General features: G+C 43.8%; 2 protein-coding genes and 1 pseudogene across 3 annotated transcripts in view, besides 5 other annotated features; 2 read left to right on the top strand and 1 right to left on the bottom strand.

The window, feature by feature from the left end:
* On the top strand, positions 8,605-8,898 carry RN7SL42P (RNA, 7SL, cytoplasmic 42, pseudogene; annotated as a pseudogene).
* Positions 10,201-10,400: an enhancer, noted in NCBI's record as "active region_4753". NCBI's record gives its function as "activates an Ori minimal core promoter by ATAC-STARR-seq in GM12878 lymphoblastoid cells {active_cell/tissue: GM12878}" and the evidence as "EXISTENCE:reporter gene assay evidence [ECO:0000049][PMID:35858748]".
* MPEG1 (macrophage expressed 1) lies at positions 10,377-14,794 on the top strand. The gene has a single exon (NM_001039396.2). It carries the CDS (start codon positions 10,439-10,441, stop codon positions 12,587-12,589), a length of 2,151 nt encoding a protein of 716 aa, NP_001034485.1. The 5' UTR covers positions 10,377-10,438; the 3' UTR covers positions 12,590-14,794.
* DTX4 (deltex E3 ubiquitin ligase 4) overlaps positions 14,716-23,074 on the bottom strand; it is a 37,159-nt gene continuing 28,800 nt past the window's right edge. For both annotated transcript variants that reach the window (NM_001300727.2, NM_015177.2), the window contains exon 9: positions 14,716-18,628. In NM_001300727.2, coding sequence (NP_001287656.1) covers positions 18,395-18,628 — 234 coding nt within the window. In that variant the 3' untranslated portion in view covers positions 14,716-18,394. The remainder of the gene's footprint in view (positions 18,629-23,074) is intronic.
* Positions 21,581-21,630: an enhancer, noted in NCBI's record as "active region_4752". NCBI's record gives its function as "activates an Ori minimal core promoter by ATAC-STARR-seq in GM12878 lymphoblastoid cells {active_cell/tissue: GM12878}" and the evidence as "EXISTENCE:reporter gene assay evidence [ECO:0000049][PMID:35858748]".
* Positions 21,651-21,830: an enhancer, noted in NCBI's record as "active region_4751". NCBI's record gives its function as "activates an Ori minimal core promoter by ATAC-STARR-seq in GM12878 lymphoblastoid cells {active_cell/tissue: GM12878}" and the evidence as "EXISTENCE:reporter gene assay evidence [ECO:0000049][PMID:35858748]".
* Positions 21,651-22,955: a biological region, named in NCBI's record as "BRD4-independent group 4 enhancer GRCh37_chr11:58967822-58969021".
* Positions 21,756-22,955: an enhancer, noted in NCBI's record as "BRD4-independent group 4 enhancer chr11:58967822-58969021 (GRCh37/hg19 assembly coordinates)". NCBI's record gives its function as "activates an origin of replication core promoter dependent on BRD2, P300/CBP, MED14 and CDK7 cofactors, and independent of BRD4, by STARR-seq in HCT116 cells {active_cell/tissue: HCT116}" and the evidence as "EXISTENCE:reporter gene assay evidence [ECO:0000049][PMID:35650434]".

The following is a 23,074-nucleotide window of genomic DNA, read 5'->3' as shown; positions in this document are numbered from 1 at the left end:
TTGTTGGGCCTTACGTAGACTTAATGGCAGAGTCTTGGGGCTTTAAGGGCTGTGGGTGGGGATCCAGGCTGCTGGTCCTGTGTACAATGTTCAAGGGGGTGATGGAACTGTCTTGGGAGTCAAGAAGGCTTATGACCACATAGGTGTGACGTTTTTGTTCACATTGTTCCCAAACCAAGAAATTACCATAAACACTGGTTCAGCATAAGGCCTCATATACTCAGCATATTCAGTATAAGTTTATTCAGTATATTGAATCTAAGTCCTCATATACTGATAGAGTAGGCCTCAGCAGAGGCAAAGCTAAAACTATCTTGGAGGGACAGTTCCATAAACCGGAGCAAACCAGCCTCCCACAGCAAACAACCCCAGTGGAAATGCAGCTCAAGACTCATAAGTTACAAACCACACAAGGAAGCAAGTCACAAAGGGGAAGTATCAGCAGAAACAAAACACGGAAAAATTTCCACACCATGACCTGGATTCAACAAGATATTCTTTTTTTTTTTCAAGTAAAACATCATGGTCATAATTTTGAAGAAGTTTGTTATCACTGGATTGCAGAATCACAGACTGTGTGTCATTCAGATGCTGGAGAGAATCTCAACAAGCTTTTTTATTTTACAGATGGGGAAACAGAGACTCAGAGAGGGGAAGTGACTTGTCTAAAGTCACCCTTAGGTTAGTGGGAGAATGAGGAATAGAATCAAAGTTACCAGGTTTCTAGCCCTGTGCTACTTTTTCTGTCCCATGAGGCCCTAATTTCTCAAGGTAAAAATTAAAAATCTAACTTGAAGAGAGGACCAGTAGAAAAGAGAGAAAGACCTATCAAGGATCTAGGAAAAGCTGGAGTGAGGACCCTAGTTCTAATTAGCAAAGCTCCTATTTGGCTCTCTAATAACTAGAAATTTTAAATAAATGCCTCCTGTCTTGTATTTGCATTATGCTGACCTGGTTCTCTTTCCTAGTTTTCCCCTACTTAGTCCTTCTCCTGCTGTTGGCATAATGAAAGTGTTATTACAATTGGGGCAAGTCAGGTTCTGTGAGAGTTTCTTCTTCCTTCCCAACCTTTGCCCCACCCAGCTTCTATATCTATGTAGGAGGGTTAGGAACAGGGAGAGGGGTAAGACCAGGTACCTTTAGGACAGACTCATTAGCTGCAGATATCAGGCAAAGATGGGAAGCAAGGTGGGTACGGAACTGGCTATGGGTTCAGCCTTGCAGGGCCAGAGCCTTGAAGACCAGATCAGATGTAAATAAGGCCAAAGCTTTTGGCATAGAGGAGCACTGTCTTTAGGCTTTGTAATTGATTCATTATGTAAGACATCAAGTTTACACCATCCCACGTTTGCCAAGGATATAACTTCAGACCAGAAAACCAATTCTTTTATAGTAAGAAACACAAATAGCACAAACTAGACCCAGGGTAACTGTTCAAAAATATTGTAGTAAATTCAAATAAAAATTTCATAATAACGTTACTTAAGCTTGAGTATTCCATCTCAATGAGTCATGGCCTGCTTTTCCAGGGAAATGTTTGAGAAATGCTGTCAGATTTGTCTGTTTTATTCACGTCTTTATTCATTCAATATAAGCAAACTATGTACCAAACATTGCTACATTCCAATAAGAGAATGATAAACCAATGACACAGTCCTCTGTCATTAAAGAGCTTACATTCACTGGAGGAGAGAGTCAAACAAAAAGTCAATTGAAATACAGAGTAATAACGCAAGGGGTGCTATTGGAGCATGTAAGAGGAAGATTCTGGTATTATTTAATGCCCTATCATTTAATAACGGTTTATTGGGAGGTGCAATCCAAGGGCAGCAAATGTGAGGGAGCAAGGGAGATAAGGTAGAGAAGGAGAGGAAGCAAATCTAGAGGGGTGTATTACTGAGCTGATCGCAACTCAGTGAAAAACACAGGTGGTTAATATCTTTAACCAGACCATACGTAACCACCAGGGCTCAGGACAGTCCGTTGGAGGAAGAAAGGAGAGGAAATTGTCTGCTAGATCTCTCCTGTATCTCAGCTCTAATTCATCAATGTTCACTGCCCTGTGGAATTAAGTCCTCTTAACTTCTGGGCTGTGCAGCACCTCTGGCCAGACACTGGAGAAGCCAGATGCCACACACAATGACTTGGTGCTTCAGTGGAGTCCAGATATGATGAGAGGAACCAGAATCTCTTTAAGGTCCTTCATGTTTAGGGTCTTCAGATAAAGTACAGGATGCTCAGTTAAAATTGAATTTTCGATAAACAATGAATAATTTTTTTATTCCCCAAGTATTGCATGAGACATATTTATACTAAAAAACATATTCACTGTTTATGTGAAATTCAAATTTAACTGGGTGCCCTGAATTTGTATTTGTTAAATCTAGCAACCCTACTCTTGCTGGACTTGCATAGGAACCACTGGGGAGGGGGAGACCATGCCAGAGCCCAGGCCTCTTCCTGGGAGAGAGGCAAGTGGTTTTGGAGGTGAGGGGATGGAGGACAACCTGGGAATCTACACAGAGGGAGTAGCCAAGGCTTGGGAAGCTGGTGCTGCTGATGGAATCTAGGGAGGCACATAAATTGTTATCTTACAACATAGGCCTATGGATTCAACAGTGGCTTCTAGGAAGAAATCATGTTTAAACTGAAATATGAGGACAAGCAGAAATTAGCTTGGAGAATTTAGGAAGTAGCCCAACCTAGATAAACAGCAGGCACTGCCCAGGTGCTACAGAGAGCACTTCAGGTTTGAGTCACTGCCCCCACCCCTCTTTTTACCTGCCCCTCAAAAGATAGCTCTTCAATTGAGGTTGCCTCTACAACCCTTCCTAATGCTCACTGCAAAATTTTCTTACATATTAAATTGTCCCTAAGTTTGTAAATATTTCCCACTTATGTTAGGTTGAAATTGAGGAAAGCCTCATAGCTCTCCCAGGAAATTGGGTGTCTCCTGCCTCACAGTTATCATGTAGGGCAGGACTCTTCTGGGTCATGTAGGACTTTTTCAGAAGAAAATCCACACTTTGAGGGATTGTGGAAGTATTGAAATATTTTCTTCTTGAAAGTTAACTGGTGCTTCTTCAAGCACATTAATTGCCCTATTCATCTTGATCTCTGACCTGAAAACCACTGAAATTCTCCAGTAACGAAAAAAAACTGACCCAACAGGAGGCCTCTGGGACCCTTGCATTGTGGTCCTCGTTCATTCCAATTAGTCAGTAAACAAGATAGATACAGTCACATCCTCACAGGACCTCTAGGCTCATGGCCATCTAAGGCTACCATCTTATTATGCTTGGATACAATATACAGCATCACTGCCAAGACAGTCGCAGCATAGAAGAAGAATGCGGTCAGCCACCAGAAGATCAAACAGATCATTTGGGATCAGTTGAAGCAGGAGTGTTTTAAGATCAGAACTGTCTTCACAGGAGCTAGGGAGCCCCCATGATCTGGATGCATCCAAGCAGAGGTTGGATGACCACTTTGTCAGACTTTATTGGAGGATGTTAAATCATTGGCTGGGAAGACAGGTCCTTTTTAAATATGAGATTCTATAATTCTATCATTCTAAATTGAGGGTCAGTAAACTACAGACTATAGGCCAAATCCAGCCTCAACTTATTTTTAAAAAGATTGATTGGAACACACTCATGCTCACTGATTTTCCTATCACCTACTTTTGTACTACAGTGGCAGAGCTAGGTAGTTACCACAGAGACCATTTGATTGCAAAGCCCAGAATATTTACTAGCTTCTCATTTATAGAAAAAAGTTTGGCAACCCCTTTGTAAAACACTCCTAAAATGAATTTTTTGATAAAGCAACCAACCAATCACTTCTCATTTACCTGTGTCATTAATCCAGATGCCATTGCAACCAGATTGTTTTTCTGAAAGATATTCATACCTTTGTTTAGGATATTAGTAAACAATAGTCAGGTGGTCTCTCTGAGTCAATATGACTTCTCATACTGTCAAATCCATAACTGGGGAGGAAAGTCAAGCTTCTGAGATGCTCTAACATGCCTTTCCCCCCACTCCCATCCTGAAGACTGTACAGCAAGCAAAGCTGAGAGCTGATATACATTGAGCTCCTGCCTGCACCACGTTGAGATTTACATGGATGATTGCAGTCAATCCTCTTAGCAACTTCATCTACTGTATAGAGGAAGCTCCTATTGTTTGTGTTTCACAGTTGGTAAGATGAGGGCTTAGGGAAACTCCAGGACTTGCACAAAGTCATCTATTGAGCCAGAATGTTGCCTGTATTTCAATTCTGAAACCTCTATTTTCCATCTATATTTGTCAGTCTAGCAGTTGAGATATTTGAGTGACTAGCAAAGCAAGAACAAAGTTGAGGGACTGAATAGACTCACAGTCCAGGCTTTGCTCTTAATCTCGTATTAAGATTATCAATAAATAGAAGAGGCAATGTGAACATTTCAATAGAGGACCCAAAGCTCCAAATTCTATATAATTCTGTGATAGAAGAATCACTTCACTTAAATTGCTTGTTTTCACCTTAACTTATTCATGGTGATTTCAGGCAGAAAGAAAAATGGTGGCAATTTTACTTTGCTTCTTCTCAAAGTTTATCTGAATATCCCATCGTAAAAGAAGAAAAGATTGAACGTGAGACTGGTTTTATGTTACCTAATAATGAAACAAACTTAGAAATATGAAGTCTGACAGCAGTTAATCCAGAGAGACCAAATGCAACTCCATCACTGCTTTTATTCATATCTTCCTTAAGAAGGAAGTTACATGAGAGGGAAGAAGTGGAGACTGGAGAAATGAGGACCTAAGAGAAATTCCACTGTGTTTCCAGTCCTGTGTGTGCAAAGCTCTTCATACTAAACTGTTTTCGGCTGAAGGATAATGCAAGAGGTACTTTTTATATTAGGCTAATGTTATTTGGGAGCCTGAAGGCAGATGGGCAGTGGAAGTAAGTTGGTCCTAATGCTCAATCTTTGTAGAGCGTAGCTTGGAGGATAGACGGAGAGGAAACAATGGCTCTCAGGGCTTACTCTGTCTCCTAGACTCTTCAAATGACCAATAACAGATGCTCAAGGAGTATTTATTTAATGGATTGATGAATTAGGCTTTCACTAGAATGTCCTAGAGAACTGTGTTGAGAATGATGTTGAGGCAACTTCAGGGCTCAGTGGAAATCAAGGGTATTACTGCTCAGTGATGTCTGCCATGACATGGAAGAGGAGTGTGGAAGCCTACAGGCCAAAAGGGCTAAGCTTTTGCCACATCAGGGTGTCCTTCTTCTTTTTCTTTTCTTTTGTTTTTCTTTTTCTTTTCTTGTCTCTTCTTTTCTTTTCCTTCCTTCCTTCCTTCCTTCCTTCCTTCCTTCCTTCCTTCCTTCCCTCCTTCCTTCCCTCCTTCCTTCCTTCCTTCCTGCTTTCTTGCTTTTTTTTTTCAGTGTCTCACTATGTTAGCCAGGCTGGCCTTGAACTCCTGGGCTCAAGGGATCCTCCTGCTTCAGCTTCTTGAATAGCTGAGACTACAGGCTCACACCCTCAAACCAGCTCCTCTTTAGTCCAGTGGAAGTACCACCTCAAATCACTGACATGTGTCCTCCAAATCTAAATTTGCAAACGCCAAAGAGAAAAAAAAGAGCAGAAGGGGAATAATTGATGATGAGAAAATGGATCAAGGAAAGTGGAAGAGAGAGGAAGAAAAAGAGTGCTAATAGAGAACAGAAATGAAATGGCTTAGGCCATCAAATTCTGGCCTAGCTTTTAATGGGAATATGCAACACTTCACATGGGCCTCCTGTTTTCACCCTCCAGATTAAAAGGAGTCATGAAATCACTATGTTCTTAGTTTTGTGGTCAGATCACCAAATGATCCTGGTGGAAAGAAGAGCCTCTGAGGGGAAGAAGCTGACAACGCAACTCTTAAAACGTCAGGCTAGGAATCAACTGTTCAGAAAGGAAAATACTGCCACTTTGTTCACTGATACTTTCCAGATTTTCCATAACAAAGTTTACTGCAAAGTCTTTAAAAGCCATAGTTCTCTGATCTACTTAGTAATTATTTAACCATCAGTTTTCACACTGGTTTCCTAGATTCCTGCTGAAAGGGAATTGTCCCAGCAAATGCAACTAGACTTTCCTCCCCATTTTAGACCACAGGTGAAATGCAGAAGTAGGAAACACCTGGATTAGTTCCAAGCCCACACAGAAGCGAACCTCAGATATGAATCACGGTTTGGCGCTGAATGAGATGGTGTCAGAAGGTTGCACGGGATCAAACAGAGAAAGAAAGCAGATGTGGGACTTCCTTCTTGCCTCTTTTTGGAGGAAGTGAAATCGCCGTTCAGCAACGCAGATGCAAAGTTTTTGTAGACAAGATGCCTCTTTCTTTTAGAGATCAGTGTTAGCCACAGGCCATTACTCCTCAAGTGTGGCCATCTGGGGAGGTTATGTGACTGCATATGCATTCCAGTACAAGAAAAAGCAAAGGAAATTTCTGGTGAACAGAATAAAACAGAAAAGTTGTGGGTAAAATGCACTGGTCACCACTTCCTCATATGTGACTGTTATGAGCAGTTCTTCTGCTCCTGGTATGTAAAATTAAGTTAAGCCAAATTTCCCATCATTTGCACTTCTCCTTTCACTGTTTCCCAGAGAACTGGAAAGAGAACTTCCTTGAGCACAGCAGTCACATAATCCATAGGCTTTGGGTCATTTCAGGAATATAAAAATTCCAGAACTAAGTTTTTTTGTTTGTTTGTTTGTTTGTGTTTTTGACAGTCTCACTCTGTCTCGCAGGCTGGAGTGCAGTGGCACGATCTCGGCTCACTGCAGCCTCGAACTCTTGGGTTCAAGCAATTCTCCTGCCTCAGCCTCCCAAGTAGCTGGGATTACAGTTGTGTGTCACCACTACATCTGGCTAATTTTTTTGTATTTTTAGTAGAGATGTGGTTTCTCCATGTTGGCCAGGCTGGTCTTGAACTCCCGGCCTCAAGTGATCCATCCACCTCGGATTCCCAAAGTGCTGGGATTACAGGCATGAGCCACCCTGCCTGGCCTGTTTCTTTTGTTTTTTTTTTACATGGTTGTGCATTGGTTATTTTCCTGAGCACAAAAGTGATGATTACCCAATACCCATCAGTGTTTGGTACTTAATAGGCTCTGAATACAAATTTCTCGAGTTAATAAATACATGCTCATTGTTGAAAACTCAAAAAACACAGAAAAGAGGAAAAAATTAAAATAATTTAGAAAAACCTCTCAACCAGATGTAATTACTGTCTATGCATTGGCGTACATCCCTCTAGTTATGTACATAGTTGGGGTCATGCTGAATGTTTATCATTCTTTTTTTTCATAACATTATTGTCAGAGATATTTGAACCAGAATAACTCCATCTCGAATAGGGGCTGGGTAAAAGAAGGCTGGGCTGCATTCCCAGAGGGTTAAGTATTCTAAGTCATGGGATGAGATAGAAGATTGGCATAAGATACAGATACAGATCACAAAGATCTTTCTGATAAAAGAGCATGCAGTAAAGAAGGCAGCCAAAACCCACCAAAACTAAGATGGCGACAAGAGTGAACTCTGGTCATCCTCATTGTTCATTATACACTAATTGTAGTGCATTCGCATGCTAAAAGATGTTTCCACCAGTGCCATGACTGCCAATTTCCAGAAGTTACCCTGTATAGTCTAAAAAGGAGAGGAACCCTTAGTTCTGGGAATTGCCCACCTCTTTCCCAGAAAACTCATGATTAATCCACCCCTTGTTTAGCATATAATTAAGAAATAATGATAAGTATCCTTAATCAAGCAGCACATACTTCTGCTCTGCCTATGGAGTAGCCATTCTTTTGTTTCTTTACTTCTCTAATAAACTTACTTTCACCTTACTCTGTGGACTTGCCCTGGTCCTTCTTGCACAAAGTCCAAGAACTCTCTCTTGAGGTCTGCATTGGGAACCCTTTCCAGTAACATTATGGCATAAGAATTTCTCATGTTATTAAAATAGTTTTAAATAATTGTGATGGCTATACAATATTTTGTCTTATGGGTACAATGTAATTTTACCGTTGTTGGCTCTTTCTGCTATTTTCAATTTTTTTTTCCTATGATAAAATGAAGACAAAGTCTATAGAATAAAAAATACAGTGACTAGACGTCTGGAGACATAGGAACACCTGAATATAGAATTGTCTGTATTAACCTTGCTTGTATTCTCATTTCAGGAGAGTGAGCTCTCAACAGGGTCTACTAAAGAGAAAGCAGAGGGTAACAAATTGTCAGCTTGTCTCCAAAGCAGTGTGAGAGTATTCTAATTTTGATGAACCATCCCAGAAATAGTTTGAAGAGAAGTATGTAGGTATTTCAACAGACTTATTGGAAGTACTCAAGGGCATTCAACTCTCATTTTTCTAATTCTGGGATCATGCTGCTGAGGTATAAATTTATGGCTAACTGATTTATAAATTAACTAGAACATCCTGTGCAAAGATTTGGTTCTTTAGCCAAATACAGACTAGGCACTGGTTCATAAATTAATCCCTCTTAGGTGGCTGGTGTCACTTCCCAGAAGCATGATAACTGTGGCACAAATAGAACCAGAATGGCCAGGTGTGGTGGTGCATGACTGCAGTCCCAGATTCCTGGGAAGCTGATGTGGGAGGATTGCTTGAATCCATGAGTTCTGGGCTGTAGTGTGCTATGCCAGTTGGGTGTCTGCACTAAGCTCAGCATCAATATGGTGGCCTCCTTGGAGCAAATCACCAGGTTGCCTAAGGAGGGCTAAACGGGTCCAGGTTGGAAATGGAGCAGGTCAAAACTCCTATGCTGATTAGTAGTGGGACCATGCCTGTGAATAGCTACTGCACTCAAGCCTGGGCAATAAGCAAGACCCTGTCTTGGAAAAAAAAATATACCCGGAATGCAGTATTTCTAGATTTATAGAACACCATCATGGTTTTGATAATAACTGGTGAAGCCCAGCCTGGGAAGCAAGATAACTAGCCTCATTCTTTCTAAAAACACTTCTTTGCTGCATTAATAACCAACAGAGGAATTCAACTCCTTGGAACCTTCCTTCCAGGATGCATACAGGTGATGGTGTAGTGATACCTGTGAATTGCAACATGACTTTTTCAGTCTCAGTACTGTATCTAGTTCATGGTATAATCTTGGGAATGTTAAGGATGCAACTGGGAGCTTCACTAAGTCCTCTGGATTCCCTGGCTACCACTAAGCATACTAAGACATAGCCTAATTGTCCCAAAGAATTAACAGAGTTGGGTTTCAATCAAACCTGTCACCATTGTTTTAAATTATGGGCTCTAATAGAGCTGGCATTGGAACTTGAAAAGAAACTCATGTAATTATATTCTTCTAATGATATAGCAAATGAATTTTTGCTTTTAGAAAAAATATTGGGTAGTGAAGAGCCACATTCTTTTTTATCCACCTAAACTGATTACACACACTTAGCAATGGAACAAAAAATTAAAGGTATAACAGGTACCAACTTCATACAAAATGCACACACACAGAGGATATATAAATGTGTGTACACATACACATATGTTCCTTGGCCCCTGTCTGCTGTTGATAAATCAAAATCTAGATAATAGTGTGGTTTTGTCTTGAACATTTCTATCTGAATGAAAACAACACAGTGTAGGAGTTCCTTGCCCTCGCTTTGAATGCTTAGGACAATGCAAATTGGGGTTTCCCAGCATATTGCAACCGAATCCTCTTCAGGCCCTGTCAGCTGTGCTCCAGACAATGCCATCCCCAAAGACAGAATTGCTATGGTTCATAACAGTGAAACCCACAGGACAAGTGTCCAAGAGTTTCACTCCTTTCTTTTGTGGAAACAGCCTCCACCCTCAGGCAAAGAGGAAACCCAGGGTTGGCCTTGACTAACAGCTTGCATAGGTATGGTGGAGCCAGGGTGTTTCAGTAAGGGTGGTGTGGTCATTTGCCTCTGCATTTATAGTAAAAGAAAACTGATAATGGAGTCCCAAGAGACAGCAGTCAGGGAAAATATGAAACATCAAGTCCAAGAGAATGAGCAAAAAGCAAAGCCAAACTTTCTGGTGGAGGAAGCAGTAGGGTGTGGGGTCGGGATTTTTTTCTAAGTGCACACCCCTGCAGCAGAGTAACCAGCCAGAGCTGGGGGAAAAATTAGGATAGCTACCTGTTAGGCATGTAGGGGTGTGTTTGCATGTTTAGTACGGCATAAATTCTTCAAAGACCTGATGGTCTTTAATATTCCAACCAACTCTCGTTTCCCCATTTTGTCATTAAATTAGCTTAAAGAGGAACTTGTAGCTTTTAGAGAACTCATGAGTTTTCCGCTTCATCATCTGCTTCTGTTTTCTCCATCTTAGTTTGCCCAAAGCTTGCTGGCCGCTGTGTAGGGCTGGTGAGTGGCTGGGGCTGTCTGAGCCATGAACAACTTCAGGGCCACCATCCTCTTCTGGGCAGCGGCAGCATGGGCTAAATCAGGCAAGCCTTCGGGAGAGATGGACGAAGTTGGAGTTCAAAAATGCAAGAATGCCTTGAAACTACCTGTCCTGGAAGTCCTACCTGGAGGGGGCTGGGACAATCTGCGGAATGTGGACATGGGACGAGTTATGGAATTGACTTACTCCAACTGCAGGACAACAGAGGATGGACAGTATATCATCCCTGATGAAATCTTCACCATTCCCCAGAAACAGAGCAACCTGGAGATGAACTCAGAAATCCTGGAATCCTGGGCAAATTACCAGAGTAGCACCTCCTACTCCATCAACACAGAACTCTCTCTTTTTTCCAAAGTCAATGGCAAGTTTTCCACTGAGTTCCAGAGGATGAAGACCCTCCAAGTGAAGGACCAAGCTATAACTACCCGAGTTCAGGTAAGAAACCTCGTCTACACAGTCAAAATCAACCCAACTTTAGAGCTAAGCTCAGGTTTTAGGAAGGAACTCCTTGACATCTCTGACCGTCTAGAGAACAACCAGACGAGGATGGCCACCTACCTGGCAGAACTCCTGGTGCTCAACTATGGCACCCACGTCACCACCAGTGTCGACGCTGGGGCTGCTCTTATTCAGGAGGACCACCTCAGGGCCTCCTTCCTCCAAGACAGCCAGAGCAGTCGTAGTGCCGTGACCGCCTCTGCTGGACTTGCCTTTCAAAACACCGTGAACTTCAAATTTGAGGAAAACTATACCTCGCAGAATGTCCTCACCAAGAGCTACCTCTCAAACCGAACCAACTCCAGGGTGCAGAGCATTGGAGGGGTTCCTTTTTACCCAGGCATCACCCTCCAGGCCTGGCAGCAGGGTATCACCAACCACCTGGTGGCCATCGACCGCTCTGGCCTGCCGCTGCATTTCTTCATCAACCCCAACATGCTACCTGACTTGCCAGGCCCCCTGGTGAAGAAGGTGTCAAAGACAGTGGAAACTGCTGTGAAGCGCTATTATACATTCAACACCTACCCTGGCTGCACAGATCTCAATTCTCCCAACTTCAATTTTCAGGCCAACACGGATGATGGCTCCTGCGAGGGGAAAATGACCAACTTCTCTTTCGGTGGGGTTTATCAGGAATGCACTCAGCTCTCAGGGAATAGGGATGTCCTCCTCTGCCAAAAGTTGGAGCAGAAGAATCCACTCACTGGTGATTTCTCCTGCCCCTCTGGCTACTCCCCGGTGCACCTGTTATCCCAGATCCACGAGGAGGGTTACAACCACCTGGAGTGTCATCGAAAGTGCACTCTCCTCGTCTTCTGCAAGACCGTGTGTGAAGATGTGTTCCAGGTGGCAAAAGCTGAATTTAGGGCTTTTTGGTGTGTGGCCAGCAGCCAAGTACCTGAAAACTCAGGACTGCTTTTTGGGGGCCTCTTCAGCAGCAAGAGCATAAACCCCATGACAAATGCACAGTCATGCCCAGCCGGCTACTTTCCACTGAGACTCTTTGAAAACCTCAAGGTATGTGTTTCTCAGGACTATGAGTTGGGAAGCAGGTTTGCGGTCCCCTTTGGCGGGTTCTTTAGCTGCACAGTTGGGAACCCCCTGGTAGATCCTGCTATATCCAGAGATTTAGGGGCACCGTCTCTGAAAAAGTGCCCCGGGGGCTTCAGCCAGCACCCAGCCCTCATCAGCGATGGATGCCAAGTGTCCTATTGCGTCAAATCCGGGCTCTTCACAGGAGGGTCCCTGCCCCCTGCCAGGCTCCCACCTTTCACCCGGCCACCCCTCATGAGTCAGGCTGCCACCAATACTGTCATAGTGACCAATTCTGAGAATGCGAGATCCTGGATTAAAGACTCCCAGACCCACCAGTGGAGGCTGGGAGAACCGATAGAGCTGCGGAGGGCCATGAATGTCATCCATGGGGATGGTGGTGGTCTGTCAGGAGGGGCTGCAGCTGGGGTCACAGTGGGGGTCACCACCATTCTGGCTGTTGTTATCACCTTGGCCATCTACGGCACCCGGAAGTTCAAGAAGAAAGCATATCAGGCAATTGAGGAAAGGCAGAGTTTGGTTCCAGGCACTGCAGCAACTGGAGACACCACTTACCAAGAGCAGGGGCAGAGTCCAGCTTAAATCTCTCCCCGAAAATGGTTTCTCTCATCTCCAGTGTGGTCATTGCTGACCACTCTGTTTTCCTAAGCATTGAAATGGCAAGTGCAACCAAAAGTAGGTATATTCGTGACTTCTTGTTTAGGTCTCTGGGCCAGGAAATTCATACTGTTACATGGATAAGGTTGGGATTGGGGAGAGGGAACAGTTGGGACTAGAAGCAAAAGTGATTCTGGGACTAAAATAGGAAGCAGATGTCCTTTCCCAATGTGTGTTGCTGTCTTCACCTGAATGCATTTGTGTAAAAATAGCGGAGGGACAATGTGAACATTTGTATTTGGAAGCTATGAATTTACTCTGAAGTTTGCAGTTGTTTCCAATTTGTGAGCTCTAAGAGTTTCTGCCTGTAAGAACTACTCTCCTTTTATTTTGATTTTTAAAAACCTGTCTGAATTTCACACTCTTAGAGCCTGGAAGAGCCCTGAAAAGACACAAGTCTTGCCTGGCTACTGCTTTTTAACTTTGAGGGCTCTATGTTGACAGACTGTTATCTCCTCTGGGTGACCTCAAACATCTGAAAAGAAAGATGTTGCCTGTGCCAATTCCACTTTTTCCAGCTGCCCCTTGATGAACACTCCCTTATACCAGACCACTCTTGGACTTCTGACTGGTGTCATCAAGTCCTCAGAAAATATTTTAAGTTATTTTAAGTTATTAAGGAAGGGATGATTTGGAGACAAGGAGTAATGAAAGATGGGTAAAAACTGGAAAAGATTCTGGTGCTAAGTACTACCCCTTCATCTTCCATGGATGGTCATTACCTTTCCTGTCCTCCTGTTATATGAACACACACACACACACACACACACACACACACACACACGCACACACATACCACATTTCAATAAGTCTTCATTGTTCTGGGTCCTTACCTTTCCTGTCCTCCTGTTATATGAACACACACACACACACACACACACACACACACGCACACCACATTTCAATGTCTGCATGGTTCTGGGGGTAACAAAGGCAAGAAGTTAAAGTAAGACCACATTTGAGTATTACTTACTCTGTAGAATCAAAACAGAGTAGTTAACACCAATTATGCAAACTACTTTTTTTTCCAGCAGAAAGGGAGCTGACATGATCAAATCCATGTTTTCAAATGAACTGAAAAAGGCATCCAGCACCACTTATAACACATTTATTTCAGTTCCAGGCTGACAGCCCTGGGGCATCTAGCAGGATGCATAATTGTCATCTGGTGAGAGTTGGGACTTTGCTCAATTTTAATACCAATCTCTCCTGATTGTAATTACCTCCACTACTTTCATGATCCCCCTACAATATTTTTTTAAATGATATATTTATTCACTGAATCAAATGTCATTAATGAGTTATCTTCTGTGGAGGATGACTGTTCTCTTTGTTAATGTTCACAATCAAGATCTTGGGCTGAGAAGAGGCCCTTCACCCAAGGAGTTTGAAGTATCACAGTGTGTGGGAAGGTGGGAACCAGGATACCCATTCATTTCCAACCGAGACACAGAGAAGTGAGTCACAGAATTTGAGCCCGCTCTCTTGACTGCCCAGCCAGAGACACTGATTTCTGTAACCTCTTCACTTGATCCTGCCTCTTAAGCATTAAAACATTCTCCTAAACCTCTGAGTGTTTTGTGGGTTCTGGGTGTTTTGTACATTTTAGCCAAGCTAACCACTTGTCTGCAAGTACTGACTTTCCTATGAATTCTTTGAAGATTATTGAGTCAGAAAGGAAAAATATAGCCCCAAATTCCCAGGCTTTTAATGCATTACATTAACTGCCTATTGAAATGAGAAGTTCTTCACAAACTTGTATACCCACTAACAAGATTGCACATAAACATGCATTAAAGTATATACTAAGAAACCCTCTGTCCAACGGCTCATGCATATGAAGTCCGAACATGGGAGTTTGCCAATTGCATTCATCAAGTCGTTTTGCGGAGTCAGATCCCTGATGGAAGAGCTCACAGGCTCTGCCTTCCAAGTCCTGGGTTCCTAACTGGTGACCTTAGCCTGGGGTCTGTGGGGAGACCAACCCTGGCTTCCAAGAAAACCACATTCCATGGACTATCAGAAATAGACACAGATTTGGGTGACAAAGCTGGCTCTGTATTTGCATTTTATTTTTGTGTTCTTGTCAGTTTGGGAATGATTAATATTAAACATTTATTTGAGAAACAACAGCCTGTAAATAATTTAAACACACACTATATTGCAGCCAGGCAAAGAGACCTTTAAAAGTGAATATTCGTGATTCTAAAAGTGTTTTTCTCCCACACGTTCACTTACTCATTTTCCCAGCAATGTGGTCTGTTCCTTTAGGCAAACAAAGTCTAGCCAGGTCAAATGTGTGGGTGGGTAATATGTGGAAAATTTGTTTTTAAGTGGTTGGGGAGGGACTTCCCCCACCCAGTGGCAGGGCTTGTGGTTGCTTACAGACTCAGGGAGGTAACCCAAATCCCTCACAGATAGGTGCACTAATCTACAAACAGCAGAAGGCCAACAAGAGTAACAATTTTGTGGTTGTTCATTTGCCATTTATTGTTCTGCAAAGACACCTCATGAGCACCAGGTGGCGATGTCCTTTCACGGAGCAACACCAAAGACTTCAAAAACATTCCAGTTACAAACAGAACAATTCACTTAGGACATTCACCTGCCTCTCCCAGAACCCCCAATCTAATGCCGGGGACCACAGAGAAGGAAAGGGGTCAGGGGTCCTTTCTTGTACCAGTGAGCCTTCCCCCAGTTTTCTCATGCACACAACAGTGCAATACCAAGACGAGTACTTTTGACCAAGTATAAAACCACAGAGAAGACCAAAATGTACAAAAATGGGAAGAGAATGAAAACACAAAGGCACACGCAGCCACAAATACACAATTAACCTTTTAGGGGATGAGCATCTGACGAGGTTTGTCTCCAATCCAATTTGTCATCCCTGGAGACTCTGGAAGGGAGAAACTAGGCTGCTGGTGCTAAGACCATGAAAGGGAAGGCATGGAATCCCCTACTTGGGCCAGGAGAGCAGAGCAGAGCTTCTAGTGGGAAAACACTCTGTGTCAAGGTAGTAGATGCACAGGGCTCAGCTGGCAGGGTTCTCACTGAAATCTAGACTGCACCTTTCCAGGTTGGCACAAGACAAAGGGCAGAGGAATGCTCCCCGCCTTGCCGGGCACAGTGTTAGAAAGGAAATTCAAGATCCCTACTGCCCAGAAAGCCACACAAGAACAGCACGAGGATGAGGTAGCCCCTACTGGGCATCTGCAGAGAGGACAAGAAAGGGGGCACAGACACAATCAAAAGCCCAGGGGAAAAGGCTTGAAGGTATGAAGTCGACCTCTCCAAGTGGTATTGCCACAGGCACAGCGGCTCCCTTTCCATCTTGAGTCTTCTTCCTTCTGCTCCTGGCCACCCCCTTCCCCACCTATACCTTCTTCTCCCTGATGTGGGGAAACTGATCTCTCCCCAGTGCCTAATTCCATTTTGAAAGTCTGTCTTCTTTTCTTCCCCACCTCCTACTGCCTCATTGTGTCTTTCTTCCCATGGACCCTCAGCCTATTTCTGCATCCTTGCGGCCAAGAAGCTCAGCAGATACTTGACCAGTGTGCGAAGGTAGAGACGGCATGAGGCTCTCCAAGTAATCTCTGTACATGGTAACCTGACAAAGGGCATGGGTGTGATATTAAACACCGCAGGGATGTCTCTTCCATTTAGTTCAGGTGTTTCCTTCCTAACTATGGCAGGAAATTGCCCTGTGGTGCAGTAACCTTGGGACCAGTCTCCTGGTCTGCTGGTGAGATACAATGGCTGCCTGCCGACAGGAGACACAGGGACAAGGATGGCAGAGCAATTCCTCCCATCAGAGCTCCCTCTGGTGGAGCTGATCAACATCCCTGTAACCATTTGGAAAGAGAGCAAAGGCTCAGCACCAGCACATCCACAGAACTGGGTGACAGGCAGGTGAATCGACTGACAGGCAGGTGAATCGACTATCCACCCCAATGTCAAAATGGCTGGAGGCCTAACAGCAAGCAGCTATGGGGCTGGCTTTATGAAAGATTGGCCTCCAGTTCCCATCTAAGTACCATTTTTGAAGGTTCTCTTGTTTCCATTTTTCTAGCATCAAAAACCTTCCAAATATTATGAAATATATATGCATATATATATATATATATATACGTCAAACCCCCAAAACATGAGGTATATAAATTCAAATTAGTATCCAGAGGAACTTCCCCCAAACACATAGTTCAAAGAACCCACTTTCAAAGGGGGAATTGGGTTTCCCTTCTTGATCCCCCCTGTTCTCCTCCCTGGCCCCCAATTCGTTCCTTACTGGGAGCCAAAGGCAATAAGAATGTTGGGGAGGAGATAGGGTCTTGGGACACAACAAGATGCAGATTGGACCAGACCATATTGTGATCCCAACTCCATTAGGAATGAGCTAAAGAGATTCTCTCCCTGCTGTAAGTCAATCTATAATAGATGAGGGAGATGAGGGACCCAGCAGCTCTGGGCTCTGATTAGCAAATTTGCATGGAAACAGATTGAAGCCTTCATAGAAACAAGACTGGATGGAGATGAGCTCTGATCCAATCTTGAAAAGAAATATAAAAGGATGAGTTCAGCCCTCACCTCATTGCATCTCCCCAGGCACAGTTCTGTCTTCATTGGGGTTTCAGTTCACTACGGGATAGGTTGGCAACAGGTGAGGAACGTCAAAGGACCACAGCCTGGCTGTTGGAGCCCCATCAGAACTGGGGTTTGGCATCTTGCAAAACAGAGTGCAGGGACATGACGGGCCTTCCCTTCAAGCTGGCCCAGCAATGCACACACGCCCACACACACACGCGCATGCACAGACACAGAGGGCACAGAGCCCAGCATGGGCTCCACTCACAGTGACTCGATGAAACTCATGGAATCTTTGAGCTGGTCTAGAATGAGTTGGGAAGAAGGCTGTGGGCTCCTCTCCCTGAGGACAGTTCAGATGCTCAGTGGGATGCAGGCTCTGGTTTGATCAGAGAGGGTCTAGAAACAGCATCATGGGATGCCACTCCAAAGAGGAACCCCAGAGTCCATCCATCCACATGAGAGAACCAGATGCCTCTTTGGACAGGTGAGAGCTGTGAGGAGGAGAGGAGGGCCCAGAGAAGCCAAGGACTGTGATGACAGCAGAATGTGCTCCCAGAGGCTTTTCCTTCTCCGACCCTCTTGGGAAGAAGTGCTTCCTTGCTCTACACCAAGGCATCAGTTTCTGATGTCACAGCAGTTTAGTGATTCACCCCTTTGCCCACCCCCCAACCTTGCACAGTGAGAGCTCCCTGCCTCCAGCAGAGGGAGAATAGCAGAAACTCCAGTCTCAAAGCAGAGTGGAAGTAGCAAGAAGCCGGCTGAGGCAAGAAACCCCGGCTTCCCAAAGCCAGGATATGGAGTGCCTAAGCACTGCCCATACCCTAGGTGTGCTGACCATGCCCCTACTTGGGAGGTGGGGTAGGGAGGGGATTCCTGCCTACCCAGCACCAAAAACTCCATGGGAACAGACCCAGGATGGCCCTCATCCCATCTCCCTTTGTGTTGGATGAGATTTATGAATGATGTCGCTATATTCAGTCTGGCTCCCACTGTGGTTGGGAGGGATGAGGGATGGACACAGGGCAGGAGGGGAGGATAGAAAGTTGGGAGGGCAGGACACCAACTTCTTCTACATTGACTCACTCTCCTCACTTCCTGTCCTGCAGTCTCCATGGCCCCTCCCACCTCAAAGCTTTTCTGGCCTCAGTCCTTCTCCTGGGCAGTGCTGTCCTCAGAGATGCCCTGGGCAGCCAGTTCAGCCAGCACATTATCCAGGTAATTGGCATCTGGGTAGCCATGGCCAGTGAGATTAGAGCCAAACTCTGTCTTGTGGTGGACCTCATTCCAGATGACGGTGTCTGACTCGCCTGTGGTGCTGGAGGTGCCAATGGCAAAAATGAGGCGGCGATCCCAGGCCACGAGCAGCAGCTTCAGAACCTAGAGGGATAAAAGTGGGACATGAAAGGCAGACATTAATTGGCAGTCAAAGACTATCCCTTGGACGGTAGAGAATCCTCCCAAGGGCCCCATCCCTTCCTGCATCATGATACCCTAAGCAGCCCAGGGGAAAGAAAGAGATTTGGACTTGGAGTTTGGGAGCTACAGGCTGAGTCCTGGCTCTGTCACTGAATAACTGTGTGACCTTGGAGAAGTTATAGCACCTCTCTGAACATTAATTTTTTTATGAAATGGCAATGGTACAATCTGCCTCTAAACGTTGTGAACATCTTACTGGACACTCCATGAAAAGTATTTTCACACCAGTGCCTACAACGCACTAATTGATAAATGTTATCTGCCAACATAACGGCTGCATTTTGAAAGACAGGATCTAGGAGTTGAAGGCGCTTATGATCTGAGAACTTCTGAAGTTCTGCCCTTCATTACTGCCACCACTACCTCAATGTAGTATTAATTTATCCAAAGCTGAAGCTGTGCACTATTTTTCTAGTGACATCTTGGAGCACTCTGACTTTCTCGAGGTGAGAAAACTGAGGCTCAAAGAAAGTTTTGGGGCTTGCAGAATGTTCTAAATCAGTTAAATTAAAAAAAAAATGTTTGTTGAGCAAGACTAGTGGCTAATGCCCTGTTCCAGGCCTTGGTCAGAGTAGTGTCCAGCATGAAGAAAAAGCATCCAGTGAAAATGTCTTGGGTTGAAAACTGAACTACTGTAAACATGGTATGGGCTGGAGGAGAGGAAACCATAATAGTATTAGTAATGAAAGCAGACATTAGAAATATGAGCTGCTATTTCCTGAGTGTTTACTTTCTCAGTGTTGGGCATTGGGACATATAATCGTTACAGTAATCAGATGATATAGGTATGCCCATGTGCCACACATAGTGACATTTTGGTCAATGACTGAACACATATGCAATGGTGATCTCACAAGATTACAATAGAGCTGAGAAATTCCTATTGCCCTGTACTTACTATACTGTACTTTTAATCATTATTGTAGAGTGCACTCCTACTTATTTACGAAAAGAAAAGTTAACTGTAAAACAGCCTCAGGCAGTTTCTTCAGAAGGTATTCCAGAAGAAGGCATTGTTATCATAAGAGATGACAGTTCCACTCCTGTTATTGTCCCCAGGGCCTTCCAGCAGGATAAGATATGGATGTGGAAGACAGTGATGCTGATGATTCTGCCCTTAGTAGGTCAAGGCTAAGGTATATGTTCGTGTGTTCATTTTAAACAAAAAGTTTCAGAAGTAAAAAAAAAAAAAGTTTTTAAAAATAAACAAGCTTATAGAATAAGGATTAAAGAAAATATTTTTCTACAGCTGTACAATGTGTTTGTGTTTTAAGCTGTGTTGTTACAAACAGGTGAAAAGTGAAAAAAGTTAAAAGGTTTTTAAATGGAGAAGTCACAATAAGCTAAGGTTAGTTTATGATTGAAGAAAGAAAAGTAGTTTTAATAAATTTAGTGTAGTTTAAGTGTACAGTGTTTATAAAGTCTTTAGTAGTGCACAGCAATGTCCTAGGCCTTCACATTCACTCACAGATTCACCCAAAACTACTTCCAGTCCTGCAAGTACCATTCGTGGTAAGTGCCTTATACAGATATACCACTTTTATCTTTTATACTGTATTTTTACTGTACCTCTTCAATGTTTAGATTCACAAATACTTACCATTATACAACTACTTATAGTATTCAATAAAATAACATGGTGTACAGGTTTGTAGCCTAGAAGCAATAGGCTATACCATATTGCCTAGCTGTGTAATAGGCTATTCCATCTAGTTTTGTGTAAGTACACTCTGCGATGTTTGTATGATGATGAAGCTGTCTAATAATAATGATATCCCTGTCATTAAATGACAGAAAACTGGACTCTCATCATCCCTCTCAAGGAAACAGAGGCTCAAAAGGTAAAAGACTTGCCTTGGTCTTATAGCTAGTAAGTGGCTAGGGGCGGTGGGGTTAAGGGATTGATTTCAGGACTGCCTGACTCCATAGCCCATGGTCTGAATCACCACTCTGTTGACTCTCAGATGGGAATCAGTCTAGAATTCATGGAGGTTGCTTCTGAGCTGAGTAGTAAAGGAAGGGAAGGATTTGGGGGCATATCAATAGAGAAGGATGTATAGACATAGTAAACAAATATAAACCCAAGGCATGGATAAATTACAATTGCTGTCACTATGCTGTGCATTTTACAAATGATATTTTCATTTAATTTTTCCAACATCCTGTCCATACAGATGCAAATCATCACCACTATTTTACAGATTAGGAAACTGAGACTTCAAGACATGAAGCCAACCAGTTCCCACAGCTAGTAAATGGCAGAAATGGGACTTGAACCCAGGCTGGTCTGGCTTCAAAGCCCATCCTCTAATTATACTTCAATCTACAAGGAAGCCCAAGGTTAGGGTCCTGGAACAGCAAATGTGAAGGATAAGGATGAGAAATTGGTGTGAGGAGAAGGTTTAACTCACACTGTAGTAGGTCTTATATGTCAAGCTGAGAAGAGTGCACTTTGTTGTTTCTTCATTTTATTTCTTTTACACACAAAAAGCTTGATTCTAGAAACTGTTTGAAACTAACCTGGTAGCAGGTAAAAGATGAAGTCTTATCTATGTTGGCAGTGGCAGGGTTAGAAGAGGAGTCTAGTGGTTTGGAAGGCAGTGAGTGCAGGGAGGAATGAGCTAAATGGATGCAGTGGATAAGAACAGGAGTCCAAGAAGGTTAATGTGCCCATCTGGGTACCAGGGACTCTGAATATGTCATTAACATAAAGAGGGAGGCCTGGAAGAAAAGCAGCTCTTGGCAACAGGATTCTAGTTTTAACCGCAGGACTTTACAGTGGAGGCATTTCGCCAACAGTTGGGATGTAGCTCCAGGGCTCAAGCACAGAAATCTGGCTCTTCAAGGTAAACAGTATCAGGGATGGTCCTGACCCCTAATCTGGGGACACTGCACTCGCACATCTTCTCAGTGTGGTTGATTTTCTATTTCTTCCAAAATACCTGCCTGCCACCTGTAGGGGGAGACCATATCCATACCCTTTGACATGAAACCCAAAGTGCCTCCCTGTAGAAAGGTCACTGTCCCACCCCTTATCTGGCTTGCCCAGGACTTGTTGGGGCCTGTGAAGGGTGAGTGGAAGTAACAAGCATCCAGGGGCTCTAAATGGGATTACACACTTCCGCTTGGGTTCTCTGTTTGTCCTCTGCCCCCTTCCATGGGAAGGGCATGGGCCACAGGAGGGCTGCTCCTTCCACCTGGCCTGCAGAACAGGAAGACACGTGGAGCCGACTGAAGCTGCTGCTATGGTCTGAATATGTGTCCTCACGAAATTGCTATGTTGAAATCCTCACCCCCAAGGTGACAGTATTAGAAGGTGGGTCCTTGGAGAGGTGATTAGGTAATGACAGCAGAACCCTAATGGATGACATTAGTGCCCTTATAAAAGAGGCCCCAGAGAAACCCCTTGCCCCTTCTACCATGTGGGGACACAGTGAGAAGGCACCATTTACAAACCAGGATGGGTTCATATGAACAAGTCCTAGCCAGACACTAAACCCGCCTGTGCCTTGATCTTGGACTTCTCAGGTTCCAGAATTGTGAGACATAAGTGTCTATTGTTTATAAGGCACCCCGTCTATGGCACTGTGTTACAGCAGCCAGAACAGACTAAGACACTGACCCACAGCAACAGCATAGCCATAGCTGCTGACAAGCAAAGTGCATGACGAATAAATACTTGTTGAAGTAAGCAGCGGAAATTTGGAGAGAAAGCTCACTAAAATATATCTTGTCTAATATTCCCCCCAATACTCCCTTTAGATCAATGGTTCCTACTCCTTTTGAGATCGGGAAAGATTTTGAAAATCCAATGATTTTCTGGCCTCATCCATAGAAATACAAACATAAATTTTTTATTCTAATTTTAGAGTTCATAGAACCACTGAAGCCTAATCATGAATCACTAGGAATCCAGAAACCCAATGATTGTTTTCTCTGCCCTTTTGGGAAAAAGTCAAATAATATGAAAGTACATACAAAGAAAATAATCTACATATTAAGATCCCTATCCCAGACCAGTGTTTCTCCAGCTTCAATGTGTTGTCAGATCAGCTACGCATCTCGTTAAGATGAAGTGGCTTCTGGTTCTGCATTTCTATCAAGCTCCTATGTGGTGCCACTGGCGCTGGTCCCAGGACCAGCGTTTAAGCAGCAGGGCTCTAGACACAGGATCTTAAAATAGATGAATTATTGCCACTAATACCCGAGAGAGGAAACAAACTGACATGGTTTGGCTGTGTCCCCACCCAAACCTCATCTTGAATTGTAGTTCCCATAATTCCCACATGCTGTGGGAGGGACCCAGTGGGAGATAACTGAATCATGGGGGCAGTTTCCCCTATACTG

This window comes from Homo sapiens, chromosome 11 (assembly GCF_000001405.40).
Source record: "Homo sapiens chromosome 11, GRCh38.p14 Primary Assembly".
NCBI classification, from domain to species: Eukaryota; Metazoa; Chordata; class Mammalia; order Primates; family Hominidae; genus Homo; species Homo sapiens.
This window is presented reverse-complemented; position numbering and strand designations above follow the sequence as displayed.

What these genes read in the sequence shown, in the direction of transcription:
- MPEG1 (NM_001039396.2), top strand. Translation starts at nt 10,439, where the DNA reads ATGAACAACTTCAGGGCCACCATCCTCTTCTGGGCAGCGGCAGCATGG.